Consider the following 15,452-nt stretch of genomic DNA (forward strand, 5'->3'; position numbering starts at 1 on the left):
CCAAATAATTCAGTCATCTGAGACATAATTAAGAAAATGTGGATGTAAACACTGTTCAAAACTTGCTGGATAGGAGATATACATATTAAAATTATCTTTCAGATGCAACATATTAGAAATTGTACTCTGGATTCTGCCTGTCAGTTGGCACAGTCTTGCAAAAAGTATTGTATAAGCTGCTTGAAAAAATGTAATATGGTATGCCAAGTCCTAATGAAAAAACATTTTGTGGAAACGTTTGTAGACTCCCATGCAAAAAGTAGTGTATGAACTTTAATTACCTTTGTAAGTTGTTCTATCCTGTGTTTAAGTGACTACTTTCCTGTTACATACCCAGGGAGGGTACCAGCTCTTGCTGGATAATCATGGTCTTGAGCCTTCCCCCAAAACACAAGAGCAGTATCTGGCAGAGGTTAGGGTTCAGCTAGCAGTGAACAGTTCAAAAACACAGGGAAGAAGAGGAAAGGACTGGTGCTAGAGTTAATCTTGTCAAGCAAACATATCTACCTAATACTTAATCTGTTTTTGTGGGTTTGCATCCCTGTACAATTTGATGTTCTTAAAAACACTAGCAGCCTTTGGCCGGGTGTGGTGGCTCACGCCTGTAATCCCAGCACTTTGGGAGGCCGAGATGGGTGGATCACTTGAGGTCAGGAGTTTGAGACCAGCCTGGCCAACATGGTGAAACCCCGTCTCTACTAAAAATACAAAAATTAGCCAGGCATAGTGGCGCACACTCGTAATCCCAGCTACTCAGGGGGCTGAGGCAGAAAAATCGCTTGAACCCAGGAGGCAGAGGTTGCAGAAAGCCGAGATCGCACCACTGCACTCCAGCCTGGGCAACAGAGTGAGACTCTGTCTCAAAAACAAAACAAAACAAAAAAAACACTAGCAGCTTTTGTCCAGTTCCATGCATATACATGATTTTTACATTGTGAAATGAACACAAAGATTTTTCTTAGGGAATCTGACAGAAATGAGCATAGAATCTTACTAGTATTTCAGTTCATTAAAGACCTAGACCTGGCACTCCATGTTGCCTCTCTTATTACCCCAGGTGTTACACAGCATTTGCCTGAAGGAGGCCATTTGCCTGTGAGGGGGTTAATGTGAATGTTCCCTGTAGGGCTTGACTCAAATCACAGGCCTGGGGAGTGGGGGGCGGGGGGCGGGGAAATCATCCTGTCCAGTGAATTCCAGAAATAGCAACAAAAGCTCAGAGGAAATTAGCCCCTGTTGTCCCATTGACATTCTCTGGCCATCTCTCCTGTCCAGCTGGGCACACTGCTTGGAAAAGAAATTCATTTGTGTTTCTCTCCTTTCTCTTAAGGTTCCAGAACCTGTTTGGAACCTAGGCCGCTCTTGAAAATATTTTCCTGGAATGGAAAGCAACTGCATGCAACATATGTTTACCTGCCTGCTGCTTTCTTTTTCGGTGTTGAGAGTCTGGTATTCCCTTGGCTACCTTTCAGGATTTCAAATAGAGTAACCACTTCACCAGCGAAATGGCTAGCAAGATGTTTATCTTTGTATTTTTAGCATCAGGATGATTGATATCTCAAGATATTTCTGGAATAGTTGTTTTTGGAGATTAACTGCATTGTCCTTATATTATGCAAGTTTATTCTTCGTGTTGTGATTTTACTCATCTTTAATATTTGTATTTAAAACCACTAACTGTGGATCATAGTCACTAAATGGAGAGTCTTAGATAATTAATTCTTCTTTTGTATGCGCTTATTGATTCCTCTTTTTTTCCCAGCATAAGTAATATTTCAAAATTGAAGATGGCCAATATTCTTTTTCTGAGTAGAAAAGCAATTCAACACATATTCGTTGTTGTTGTTGTTGTTGTTGTTGTTTGTTTGGGGACAAGTCTCCCTCTGTTGCATAGGCTGGAGTGCAGTGGCGCCATCTCAGCTCACTGCAGGCTTCAACTCCTCGGGTTCTAGCGATCCTCCCACCTCAGCCTCCCAAGTAGTCGGGACTACAGGCATGTGCCACCAAGCCCAGCTAATTTTTGTATTTTTCGTAGAGATGGGGTCTTACTATGTTGCTTAGGCTGGTCTTGAACTCCTGGGCTCAAGCTTTCTGCCCGCCTTGGCCTCCCAAAGTGCTGGGATTACCGGCATGAGCTACCACATCCAGCCATCAACACACATTCTTAATATTGTTTTCTTTTGTCCCCATTCATGCTTATCAGCATTAGTAGGCATTGACTAGGTATCTAGCTTGTCCTTATTATTGAGTAGTCACATTTTTCGTTTTCACCTAAAATTATTTATTTCTGTTTCTTTTTTGTTTGTTTGTTTTCATATTGATTGTTTACTGTTGGCTTTAGGCTTCTTATCTCCAAAATGAGCATGATCAGAAGCCACACATTTTCCACGCCCCTAGTTCATTATACATGATTTGTTAAAGAGAGTAGCTATGTCAGCTCCTTGGCAGATCTGAGAAAGCATATGATGTTATGACAGGGATATCTACAAATGAGCCTTGTGGATAAGAACTAGACAGAAGGTTTAGAGAGAAATAATGTTGATGTCATCCCATTGGAATGATAGAGCTGTTACAACCAGAAATACATTCTATAGCTAGTAGCTAAGTGTGTAGCTCTATTTCTTTTCTAAGAAGGAAAAAATGTGAAATAAACCAAAGAAGTAAAGTATGTTTATAAAGGAGGATATTTTAATTAGTTTAGGTCTTAACAGTTATTCAAACAGTCTGAACTTAGGTTTCTTTTTGGAGCAAACATGAAAACCATTATTTATGGAAAATTTAAATTTCACATGACACATCTTCCCTCTATGTGTGTGGGTTTTTTCTTTCTTTCTTTTTTTTGAAAAAAACTATTTGCTTTGCTTGTGTATTTTTATTTCAACCTTCCTTTTACTAAAAATGCTTTATTTCCTTGGTGTAGGAGATTTGTTTTTAGGGAAAAGAAAGACTTGTGTCTCTAAGCTGAGCCCCCTTTCCCTTTTTTAGCATTTCCAGATAGGCTGGTTCTCAGCTGACCATGTTTGAATTAGAGGCGCCCAACTTAGCTCCTTTTCAAAAACTTTCCTACCATTAAATGTGCCTATATCTGCAAAACAAAATGCCCCTTCTCTGTGTGAAACACTATACAAGAGTGCCTTATTATTATTATTTATATTTATTTATTTATTTATTTATTTATTTATTTATTTATTTATATTTTGAGACGGAGTCTTGCTCTGTTGCCCAGGCTGGAGTGCAGTGGCACGATCTCAGCTCACTGCAACCTCCACATCCCGGGTTCAAGCGATCTCCTGCCTAAGCCTCCTGAGTAGTTGGGATTGCAGGTGTGCGCCACCACGCCCGGCTAATGCCATTCAACTGCTAAGAAGGCAGCAATGTAGAAAATGGTTTTCATGTTCATTTACCCCAGCCGTGGTCACCAGCAAGGTGGAATCAGGTGGAAAATGGTTTCGATCTGTTTACTTACGTTGTGGCTGCTTCAGTGTAAGGAATAGGAAATATAGGGTTTGCTTACATGATTTTGTCTAATTTATTTACTGCACACCAGAAGGTGGAAAATAGCCCCTGAGAATGAAGAATAAGAAACTTGTCCTCTGACCTTGCACCAGAACCTTGCATTTGTGCACTTCTGGGGCAATCTCTTGTTTAGTTGGCTCACACCAAGTACCAAGTTCTTAAGAGGGGAAGAAACAAAAACCAGACAGAGTTTTCAGCTTGAATAAAAGAAGCTACCCTAAAGGCAAATCAGCAGAATTTTTTTGTTTTGTTTGCTTATTTTTGTGAGGGGATCAGTTATTCTTCTTTCCTTCACAATATGGGAGGTGTGTGCATGAGAGAGACAGGAGAAAAAAAACAAAAAAAAAGAAAACATGCCACCAAACAATAGCTTCATCCAAACTCTGACATACACTCTTTGTACAGCTGGGCTCTGAAACTGTTTTATGGAAAGAGTGGTCATTCAGTGTACTTCGAGGCACGCTTAGATCATGCTTAGGGTGAGATAGGCCAAGGGCTTAGTTAACTCGCTTATTTAGGTCGTAGAGATGTGAATTTTGACATTTTCATACTAGACTGTTAGCTTTCGTACAAGAGTTGATCGTTTATGTGGGAAGTAACTGTCACTTTAAAACAAATTTTATTTTTACTCTTGTTTGGTGCAAATTGTGTCCCTGGGTTTTATTTACCTTTTCCTTCTTAGTCTGTGGCAGCACGAATGGAAAAGCATTACATTAAATAAATGTAATATAAGTGCATTTTTCTCTCTTTTTTCCCATATTTACAATTAGAAGCTTGAAAGAAGACAGAATTCCATCTGGCCTTGGTACCACGTTTCTCCTAACATGAGGGGCTAGTGACCAGACACGATAGGGCAGTGATTGCTTTGTCACTGCCTTCCCTCCCCATGCCCTGCCATTTTTATTTTTGATCTTCTCAGAATCCTTTGTTTATTTGGCCCCATTCAAGGCCCACTTTTTAAATTCTTCCTTTCTTCATATACATTCCCAGCAGATAGGTGGCCTTTGCTCTATTCATTTGACAACCTTTTCTAAGTTAAAAGCAAATAAGAAAACCAACATAAACCTTCCCATAGGACTGAGCAGATCTCCTCTGCTGCCTTCTCTTTCTCCCATCCACCTCAAGGCCAACACCCCACCAGTATCAACCCCATGTTTTCTTTCTCAGTGTCCTCTCCCTCAGGATCCCTAGATCTCTATTAACTCTTCATGATACAGTCAAAGGTTATACTTGCTTTGGGACCATGTATTAGACTTGTGGCCCTGGAGAAATCACATCTACTCTCTGAGCCTCAGTTTCCTCATTTGTTCCTTATATTCCTTCCTCAGTCAACAAAGACACCTATGGGTGGTGTGCCCAGCACCGGAGGTGAGAACCATGATGAGCTAAGTAAGCATAAGTTCCTATCCACCACTGTGAAATGGAGCAGAGAATGTCCATCATGCAGGGGATATTGTAAAAATTAGCAAGGTGATGATGCATAGATGAGCACGTATGTAGGTGCTCAGGAAATGTCAGTTTTCGTGATTGTAATCAAAGGCAAACAGAGAAGGCAAGTCCTGACCTCTCTTTGGAAGTTGTTTTTATCTCAGGAGGACCTTTCCCTTGTATTTCTGGCTTTTACCTGAAACTCATTTTTTTTGACTTTGGACAGATTTTTTTATTATTATTCCTTTTAATCTAGCCTCTTTCTCTATTTTTTCTTTTTTTCTGTTAAAAGCATAACCATTTCTTCTGTCATGTGTATTTGAAAGCAAGGTGGGAGGGGGCGTTCCAGTTTTTGTGGGACAAAGCATCCTGTTTTAACTCTGTTCTTTTATAGTGTATTTCTAGTGCATAGTCCTGAGGATGTTTTATTTGCAGATCCCTTTAATTCTTCCCTTCCTTGTGTGTTGAGTAGGTGATCATCCCTGTTCTAAACTTTTATTACTCCAAGGATAGGGTCTGACTTGTTGCCTTTCTAAGATAATCTAAATGCCTTCTTCATAGCAAGAGGAAACAGTTACCTCCTTCAGCTGGTTGTTTGAACATAACTATGTGAGTGTTTGAAACCATAGGGTCCTTCAAATTCTACAATAACCAGAAATTGAGAACATTTTGTCTTTAACAACTGAACCAGTTCATTTATTGTGACTATGCTTATGTTTTGTTTTGATTTTTTTCTAACCGGCAGTTATCTCTTGAGATTATATAATATTTACAGTTTACTTAGCAGGGGCTTCCAGAAAATGTGAGGGTATGTCAACTTTTGATTTATGGATACAGTTTATACCTTAACATGAATACATAGTTATAAATGAGCTTGTGACATTGGGTCTTTTGAATGTGGGTTTTCTTTTAAAAGGCTACAGTTTTCAAAACCATGATATTACCACCAGCCCATTTGTATTTCTCACCAGACTAAAGGTAGCACGTCCTACTAAACAGAACGCAACAGGAAAAAAAATAAGGAACAAGTCCTTTTAAAGTTTGGAGTGGTGCCAACTACAAGTTTTTGTTATTTTTAATATAGACTTTGTTCATTTATTTAGTCAAGAAGCGTCTGTTGAGCTTTGCACATGTAGGGCCTGTGCTGGGTGCTGCGGGTAAATGGTGATTTTGTCCTAGGGCAGGGGTCATTGAACTATATAGCCTCCCTGTAGCCTGCTTTTGTATGGCCCACAAACTAAGAGGTTGTTAAAGTTTTAATGCGTTATGAAAACAAACAAAAAGCAAAATATGCAAGAGACCTATGTGTGGCTCACAAAGTTTAAAATATTTATTTGATTCTTTAGGAAAAAATTTGCCTACTCCGGACCCTGTGGTGTCTCTGTCTTCCTCAATCTTATGTTTGTTAGTAAGAAAGACCAGAAGTAAGCAAGGGAACAAATAAGAAAGATAGTTCTTTTCAGATTTTGATAATTGATAAGGAAATAGCATGTAAGAGTGACAGAAATGAGGCTGGTGTCAGGTGTAGCAGTTAAGGTGGGATTTTTTGAAAAGATGAATTTAAGATTAAACCTGAACAGTAAGGACAAACAGGTCTGTGCAGAGCTGGGCGTATTAACCCATCTCTCACTCCTTAGGTCCACATCCCCCTTCCCCTCCAAGTGCCTGCTTATTATACACAGAGCTCAGCTAAATGCTGGTTCCTGGAAGACTATCTCGAATGCCCTCTTTTGGGTTACCTTTACTACAGCACCCATCACAAGGCACTGTAATTGCCTATTTGGTTTCATTCTTCCCACCTCCCTCCACTAGACTTGAAATATCTTGGGGGCAGGGACATATGTCTTAGTGATCATATCTCGCTAGCGTTTAGCTCATAAACTAGGTTAAATGGAGTCTACTCTAAACTCAAAATTAGATTCCATCAAGCCCACTGTGAAAATCAAGAAGATCCTCTAACAAGTTGCAGATTCTTAAGTTCTATCACTTATCTTTTTTTGTACACATCCTTCCCCCCTCGTACTCTCTTCTCCAAGCACTATTCTTTCATTTCTAAAACCTAATTATTGCCCCACCCCCAAAACATGCCCATTTCCCTCGTGTTATTAAAAGGCACCGTCATCCATCCAGTTGAGCAAGCCGAAAACTAGGAATTAGCCTTGGTGTGTCACGTTTCCTCACCCTTACCCATCACATCCAGTCCTTCAGGACCCACACCTCCTCAACTAGTCCTGTCTCACTGTCTCTACTCTCAGCTCTAGCCCAGGCCAGCTCTAGCCTTTCCTTTGCCTGGGCCACTGCAGCAATCCACTGACTGGTCTTTCTGTTCCCTTGCTTACCTTCCATATATCCGTTGTTCACACAGAAGACAAACACATCTTTTCAAGCTCAAAAGAAGATCATATCTGTCCCTTTTCTTAGACACCCCAGTGGCTGCCCGTCGAACGTAAACATGTGAACTTAAGTAAACAAGTAAAAACAAGTAAATAAACAAGTAAAAATACAGCTCAAAGATTTGAGCTCACAGCCCTGAATGGAATAACCATTGTCTCTTCAACCACATCTTATTACTCTCAGTTTCCAGGTACATTGGTCCCTCCACTTGCCCTTCTTAGGACCCTTTATTCTCTGTTGCCTGTTAAATTATTAAATGTTAAATGGAACCCCGTGTTAATCTCCTTAACATCGCGAACACTTAAAACTATACAGTGACAAGTCAGTGAACCATAGTGAAACTCCATTCCCCAATGACACCTTCATTCCTGATTTTCCTGGTAACATTTGTAATATCAAAAATTCATGATAACAGGCAACTGATTTAATGATAACTCCAGTTAAAAGGCCTTGGGGAAGGAACTTGACAACCTTACTGCCTTCTAATGGTATTGTTTTTCCTTTTTTCTTTTTCGCAATGCAGAATATGAGTTGGAAGTAAAGAGGGTGCAAGACATTCTTTCGGGAATAGAGAAACCACAGGTATGTCTTCTGGATTTCTCAGCATAAATGACACTTTTTAAAGTATTTCAAATGTGCTTTTTTTTTTTTTCCACCACACAGTAGGTAAGGAAAAGGGCTCTTTCCCTTTGCAGATTACTCATCAACTATGAAATAGTGTTCGGTTCAGTTATTAATGGACCATGAGACATAGAACAGTAGCCTTCTGTGTGTAGTCGTAATCTACTGAAATGTCTTCTTTATTTAGGTATTCTGAATGCAATTAGATATTCTTTCCAAAGATTCTTTTTTTTCTCTCTCTTTTTTCAGTCTACAGTTTTCTTTTGGTAGTTTTTTTTTAACCATATAAATGTAGTAATAATTTTTGAAAACCTCAGTAATCCCAAGTATTTTTCCAAGTAAACTTCAAAAAGATATTTAAATATTAGCTGTGAAAAATAAGTCCAGAACATTGGGTGCAATGGCAAGACAAAAAAATGGTCGAAGTGGTGAGGTTTTGATTTTGCCAGGTGCTTTGAAATTCAAGTGAAAAACTCAGAATGTTGATTCAGCCTTTCATCTGAGATTAGAGAGCCAGAGTTCTTTGGAGTATTTTCTAGCTGAATTGGAAAACCTTGATTCTGCATGTGTTTCAAATACTGAGGCTTTTTAACAGAAGAGTCCAAACATGCCTCAGGGTACATAGTTGAATTTGACAACCTAAAAGCTTGAGGTGTGTTGAAGGACAGGCATAATAAGGCACTTGTAGAGGAGTGGGGTGTTGCCGTTGGGAGGGGTGCAGGGAGTCTGTACTTACTCTGGTGAGGAGCAGGCTGCCACTGGGGGTTTTTGAGCAAAGAAGTTATGTAATCAGGGCTGCATTTTCAGAATGATCAAACAGTTGGTGGATGAGTTGGAGTGAGAAGAAGATAGATGCAGGGAAGAGCAGTGTTAGAATCTGCTACTGTAGTCCTGGTGAAAGGCTATGGGAGTCAAAATTAGGGTGGTGACATCTGTGTGGCAGGCAGCAGGGGACAGATACAAGAGCCATTCCAGAGATAGAATACGGCACTATAACCTGTTAGAATAGATATCAAATGTCAAGGATAACTGGGCTTTCGGGTTTGGATGCCTCCTCTCAGGAATTGCTTCCTCTAAGATGCCTTCCTGATTGCTGTCCATGCCCATCAAGTGGGAGGCTCTACCCCCAGCTTTGCTGTGCCCTTCATGGACTTCTGCTACTGTATTTAATATATTGTACTGCATCTACTTGTTTCTGTGTCTTTCCCGGTCTGTGGTTTCTCTAGGACAGGTTCACAGCTTTGTCCTTTTTGTATCTTCAGTGCCATTCTTGGACATGCTGAGTTTGTTTCACTGTCAGGGACTCTGGAAAGATAGATACAGCGGGCGGTCGCAAATGTCTGGTAGGCCGATGCTGAGGAGCGAGGAGGAACAAGATACAAGACAGGGAGATCACATGCATAGCAATGATACTTCATGTTGTAGGATTGGATGATAGCTTTGCAGACGGGGGTGCAGTATAAGGGAGAGATCAGAAAAGGTGTGAGGGCAGAATTATGGAAAAAGCTTATGTTTGTAGCATAGTAGAAAGAAGAAAAATCTGTAAGGAAAACAGAGGAGTCAGAGAGAGAGGGCAGAGCAGCGGGTTCACTCATGGCCCCAAATGTAGTTTCAGAACTCCATAGTCGCTTCTTAATCATGTTTATGCACACAGTGCTGTTCCTCAGATATTCCTAGTCACTGCTCTGCTGAAGAAGTGACAGAATCTCTGTTTCTTGTGGGTGAGATGGCTCTAGCAAGACAAAAGCCATATTTAGATTCATTGGTCCTTTTTCTTGATGCAGTATTTCTTAGGCATTTAATCTTTTGAGGTTTTAGGGCAGGGTAATAGGCTTTTTGTAAGTAGCTGTGTTGTAAAATATAATAGGGTAAGAGCGTCATCTGAGAACTTTTGCCTGTATCATTTGGAAACAAGCATTGCTTGGCTACAGAAGCACACAGATGTTAGCTCTATCCATGACAGTCTGGCCAGGCCGTTCTGTACCCATCGCAGAGAATTGGCTTCTCAGAGCCTAGTGCCTTTAGGCCCCTGAATCATGTAGATAACTCCCCTTGTTTTCATTTGGTGCTCACTTAGTAGCCTTTTGAGAATTTGACTTCCTTGTTGCCAACAGAGAGAAAGTATGTGAGGCAGGTTGACAGTGCTATCTAATCTACCAGATACTTCTGTTTCTCATTATGAATCAATTAACTGGCAGTCTGATTGTATATATCTGATTCCATAAGTCTTATAGTTTGACATTCAAGTCTGACTCTGGAATACCGGCTAGATTGTCTGAGTCACTGGGCAGGGGCCTGGACCTGGCGAATTCACTCAGGTAAATGCCACAAGGTAACAGCCTGTCTGCAGGGCCAGCCAGCTTAACTGGACTCTATCCTGTCTCATTACCCTCCTCCAAACCTTTGAAGTGGACTTTGAATGAGAAATTCAGTCAAAAGATAACATTTCCATATCAGCGTGGCTTAGATGGGCACAGACGTAGTCAGTATAGCTGAAGAGTTTCCTTAGTCCTATAAAGCTGGAGTTGTTAATTCTGTAGCATAAGCAGCACATTATCTTTCTAGGTTTGGAAAAGGCACGTTGAGAAACTTTCTGGAGGTGAGTAGAAACAAAGCCTCAAGTAGTTACACACTCCAGAGTCATGAAAGATCTGTAGATCCGCATTTATATCTCATGCCCTTTTTAACAGTGAGGCTTGAACTTGCCAAAATACTACACCCTACCTTTTAAGCAGTTTGATGAAAATCACCTGATAGGAAGTGGGCGTCTCTGGACACAGTTGCTTTGCCAACATGTGGGTGGTGGTTGGTGCTAACCACCCTGCATGTCTGGTTCTCTGGATGGCAGTGTAAGTGTATCCAGGTTGCCTGGGCTGAAGGCATATCAGACAAGGGGAGTTTGTATGAAGAGTGCCATGCTTGTTCGTGCCTCCTGCTTTTGCACATGACTAAAACAACTTCTCTTTCTCTCCACCTATATGTTTCCTATTGCTGCTGTAATGATTTACCACAAATTGAATGGCGTAAAACAGTACAAATTTATTGTCATAAAGGTCTAGAGGCCAGAAAGTCCAAAATGTCTCTGGCTAGGCTGTAATCAAGGTGTTGGCAGGGCTATATTTCTTTCTAGAGGCTTTGGGACAAAATCTGTTTTCTTGCCTTTTCCAGTTTCTAAAGGCAGCCTGCATCCCTTGGCTTTGTCTGCAAAGTCAGCAGCCATATTCCCCCAGCTTCTGCTTCCATTCTCACATGCCTGTCTCTCACTGTCCTGCCTCCCTCTTTCACTTATAAGGACCCCCGTGATTTTACTGGGCCCAGCCAGATAATCCAGGTTAAGTCTCCCCTTCACGAGAGCCTTAACTTGGTCACACCTTCAAAGTCCCTTTTGCCATATAAGGTATTCATAGGTTCCAAGGACTAGGATGTGGACCTCTTTGGGGACCTACCACACTCCCCTTCTGATCCTCATAAATGTTATTGCCTGAGACAGTCCACTGTTTCTTTCCAGCCCAATTAGTTGTTTATGCAGTTTCTGTCTTTCCTCTTCGTACCACTTTTCTCTCTGAAGTTCTTGTTTGTGATTGTGTGTTATTTAACTTTTCGCTCCTAATACCTAGCACTGTCCTTGGGACATAGTGACCCCTTAATAGATCTTTGCTGAATAACTGTGTGGCTGTAGCTGGGTTCTGGCCGGGGGCACAAACGCCGGAAGTCTGACCAGCCTCAGGATGTGCCTCCGCCAGCGTGTAAGGCAGCAGCCACTAGAGGGAAGGCCTGTGCTTTGCAATCTGGCACTCTGGGTTGGGACTTGCATTGGCTGTTACCTGTCTTTGTGACCTTGGGTAAGTTACATCATTTCTTTGTGCCTCAGTTTCCTCATCTTTGAAAGGTAGGATAAGAAATACTACCTGGGACTATATGAGAAGTAAATTATATACTTGGAATGCAGTATTTATAGTTTGTAGCGTATCACTAAGCAAAAGTGAAACTTCTGTGCTCTTACATGGGAAGGAAGAGGTATCAGGCCATCTGACAGGGAAAGAAGCAGAGCCATGCAAAGTTGGGAGCACAGTTGTAAAAAGGATTATTTAATTTTGTGTTCCTTTCAGCCACAACTGGTAGCACCTCTAAATAAAAGGCATATATTTTGCTTTGAGGTTTTGCAGATGATTTTATTTAGGTGCAGAACTTGTGGATTCCAGTCATCTTTCTAGGACTTTGGGCACCCTGAATTGAGCAAGTCTTTTACTCTTCAGAGACCCAGCTACTGCAAAGGTCCAAATACTTAGTTTCATTTAAATTTTATTAAAATGGTATACAAGTATACTAGGTATTTATCTTGGGACTGGAACAGTTAGGTGCTATGGGGACTTCACTGGTATAGCCTCCACCATGACAGAGCAATAAGCCTGATATTATTCTGAGTGGCTTAGGAATTAGCCAGCCATCTCGAGCCTAATGTGGTCTGACCTTCTCTGGTGGTGGTGCTAGATGTAGTCTCCCATAGACTGGTGGGCTGTTTATTTTCAGGATATAAATAATGTAACCTGGAATTGTGGTTCTGCATTGTTTCCATCCGCGAATGTTTAGCTTGTTGGAACAATTGATTTGTCGGTTCCAGAAGCGAGTAAACTGACCTGCGAGGAACACTTCCCCTGTAAGAAGCAATCCCTTGAAAGATAAACAGTAGTGCATCTGGGAGCAGATAGGCGGCTCTTAGCACTTCAGGAATCATAAAAACAGATGACTGTGAAATTCTTAGATTTCAGTATCCTTTTTCTTTAACCTTTTCCTTTTTCATTTATTTTCCTTTGTGGTGGTGTTTCTCATGATGATCCTTTAGAAGTGAAGCCAGTATTTGTGTGGTAATATTTCCTTAGTGTACTCTTTAATTAGATCAGTAGGCCTCCCACATAGTTCAATCCAAAGGCCAGAGCAAATTTAGAAGCTACCAATGTACAAGGAAATATTTTTGAACATGAAAGAAACAATTTAGTAACTATGAGAATAAATGGTGTTTCTGATCCAAGTACTATCATTTGCATAATAATAAAATATCAGAAAAAAATGGAAAATTTTACAGAACAGTATTAAAATATTGGGATGAACAGGAGAGAAGGTGCAAGGAGAAAGCAAGCTATGGATTACGTATCAAATAGCTACAGGACAATGCGGTTTTATAATTTCCTTATACACACACATATAGAACAACTGCTTTCAAGTTGGAATCTACATTTAATAAATAGACGAGTGATTTCTAATCAGTATGTGACCATTTACAAGTAGGAAGTAATTTTATGAGTCCTTCAAGGTGCTCAAAAGCAGTTTAGTTTAAATAATTCATATGCAGACTTACACTAGTAACCTGTACAACAGACCCTTTTATAGCAGTTATTGAACTGCTTTTGAATTGGAATCTACATTTAATAAATAGACAGGAATGATTTATAATTAGTATGTGACCACTTAGTAGTAGGAAGTAATTTTGTGAGTCCTTCAAGGTGCTCAAAAGCAGTTTAGTTTAAATAATTCATATGCAAATGTATACTAGTAACCTATACAACAGACCCCTTTATATTACTATTGCAGAAACAAATGTCAGATTGCACCTCGTCCAATAATTTTATAACTACAAATTACCCCTTTTATCACCATTACAAAGGAGATTGACTTTCTAGTTACGGTAGGTTAATTAAATATCAGGAAGTCAGTTTTATGGCTTCTAAACTTTTTTGAGGGGTGAGGGGAACAAACAGCCATGGTGATCACTGTGATGATCAGATTAGCCGTGCCCTAGTTAAGCTTGTTGGTCACTGCTGGCAAGAAAGTTTCAGCACAGGCAGACTTGCAATGTGAAGGTCATATATGAGTGTTGTTGCTCTGAAATCGGCATGAACCTAGATAGAGTTCCTAGAGTTCCAAATCTCTCATTAAGGCATTACCTCCCAGGACACTTGGAGTAAATATGTCTAGTGCTGAGAATTCACCTTCAAGTGACATTCTCTTGAAAGACAGCATGTCAGTTTCTGGAATCAGCCTTAAGTGGAAACAAGTTCCAAGTCCTAATGGAGACTAAGTGATCTTTTTCTCCTCATTCCATTGCCTAAACAAGGGAAACCTCGGGCCAAGAGTCAGTGAAAGGGAGAGAGCAGGAGGACAAGAAGGATTTGGCCCCAGAACATCATCATGATCTGGGTGTCAGGCTGCTTAGCTCAAGGAAAGAATTCACAGAAACCGCTTTCCTTTGAGAATGATGCTGAGTTCTCAAACTGCATTTCTGATAGGCTGGCACATTGGAAGAATGTATTTCCACAAACACCTGCATTGCATGCTGATGACAGTGTACATCCTGAAGGCTTGCTTAGGGACTCTAGGGAAAAAGTGAATGTTATTTTAGTTGATGCTTCAAGTGTTGTATTTCTCTGTTCAGGTAAATAATAATTTAACCAAGTCCTAAGGGAAAAAAGTAAAGTTGTCATAGCTGACATAAAAGGTAGAGTTTAAAGGGATGTGACTTCATGGATATTTGTTTGGTATCTAGAACGTTGGCATTTGACTGAGCTATTTTGAGACATGGTTATTTCACACCACCATTCATGGAATCAGTGTTACTGTCTTCTGTGTTCTTGGGTGCAAAGCAGCCACTTATCACCTTGGCTGAGTGTTTTCCAGTACCTAATGAGCCTCCTTTTTTTCCAAGAAACCAAACTCTTTGTAACAAATTATCTCCCACGTTAAAAATAAAATATGATACCCAATACCTCAGGATTACTCATTAATGGTATGTGAAGGAATTGAGCAGATATACTGTTGTATGTTGGAAATGCTGTCTTAAAATCTAGGTAGAGAAACAACACACAAATAACCAAGTAATGCTCTGTGTAATGGAATATGCACCAAATGCAGGGATGGAAAATAGGCAAGAGTACAAAGAAGAGTGGTTGAATCTGACAGTGCAGACGGTACAGGAACCTGTCCAGAATCAGTCTCAGAACACTTAAGAGTCCCTCTGTGTTCAGTATATCTGCCATGAGGCCCCTCATGTGCCTGTCTCTCTTCAACAGGTTGGGGCTCCTCGAGGCCAAAGATCATACCTTAATCATCTTTGTATCCACAGCCCCTCACAGGGTGAGGTATGACCATTAAATGAGTAAACAAAGGCAGCATTTGAAGTGGGTCCAAGAGAAGTTGGTTAAAACCAAGGAAGTAGGAGAGTTAAAAGCTAAGTCCCAGGGGTGTGAGAGAGGGCATAAGAGAGGCCAGCATCCTGGAGGTTTGGTCACAGCATCGTGGTGCAGATGGGTTGGAGGGGTGGGGAAGAGGAGCTGCTAGTCTGGAGCTATAGCAGTCTTCCTCAGATGTTTTAAAGAGATGTGTAATGCAAGCCTACCATCTTCTGATAGTCTGTGTCAGAAACTCAGACTATCTTATTTCCCTAGATTTTTTATTCAACAAACATTTACTAAGCAACCACTGATCACAGTTGACTATGA

At 40.6% G+C, this 15,452-nt stretch overlaps 1 protein-coding gene across 11 annotated transcripts in view, besides 1 other annotated feature; it reads left to right on the forward strand.

The window, feature by feature from the left end:
• FNDC3B (fibronectin type III domain containing 3B) overlaps positions 1-15,452 on the forward strand; it is a 362,092-nt gene that overhangs the window by 238,487 nt on the left and 108,153 nt on the right. For all 11 annotated transcript variants that reach the window (NM_022763.4, XM_017007062.2, XM_017007064.3 and 8 more), the window contains one exon: positions 7,862-7,920. In NM_022763.4, coding sequence (NP_073600.3) covers positions 7,862-7,920 — 59 coding nt within the window. The remainder of the gene's footprint in view (positions 1-7,861; positions 7,921-15,452) is intronic.
• Positions 11,515-11,809: an enhancer, noted in NCBI's record as "tiled region #14584; HepG2 Activating DNase unmatched - State 17:Gen3', and K562 Activating non-DNase unmatched - State 12:CtcfO". NCBI's record gives its function as "activates a minimal TATA promoter and a strong SV40 promoter by Sharpr-MPRA in HepG2 and K562 cells {active_cell/tissue: HepG2 | K562}" and the evidence as "EXISTENCE:reporter gene assay evidence [ECO:0000049][PMID:27701403]".

The sequence above is a fragment of the Homo sapiens genome, chromosome 3 (genome assembly GCF_000001405.40).
Source record: "Homo sapiens chromosome 3, GRCh38.p14 Primary Assembly".
NCBI lineage: Eukaryota > Metazoa > Chordata > Mammalia > Primates > Hominidae > Homo > Homo sapiens.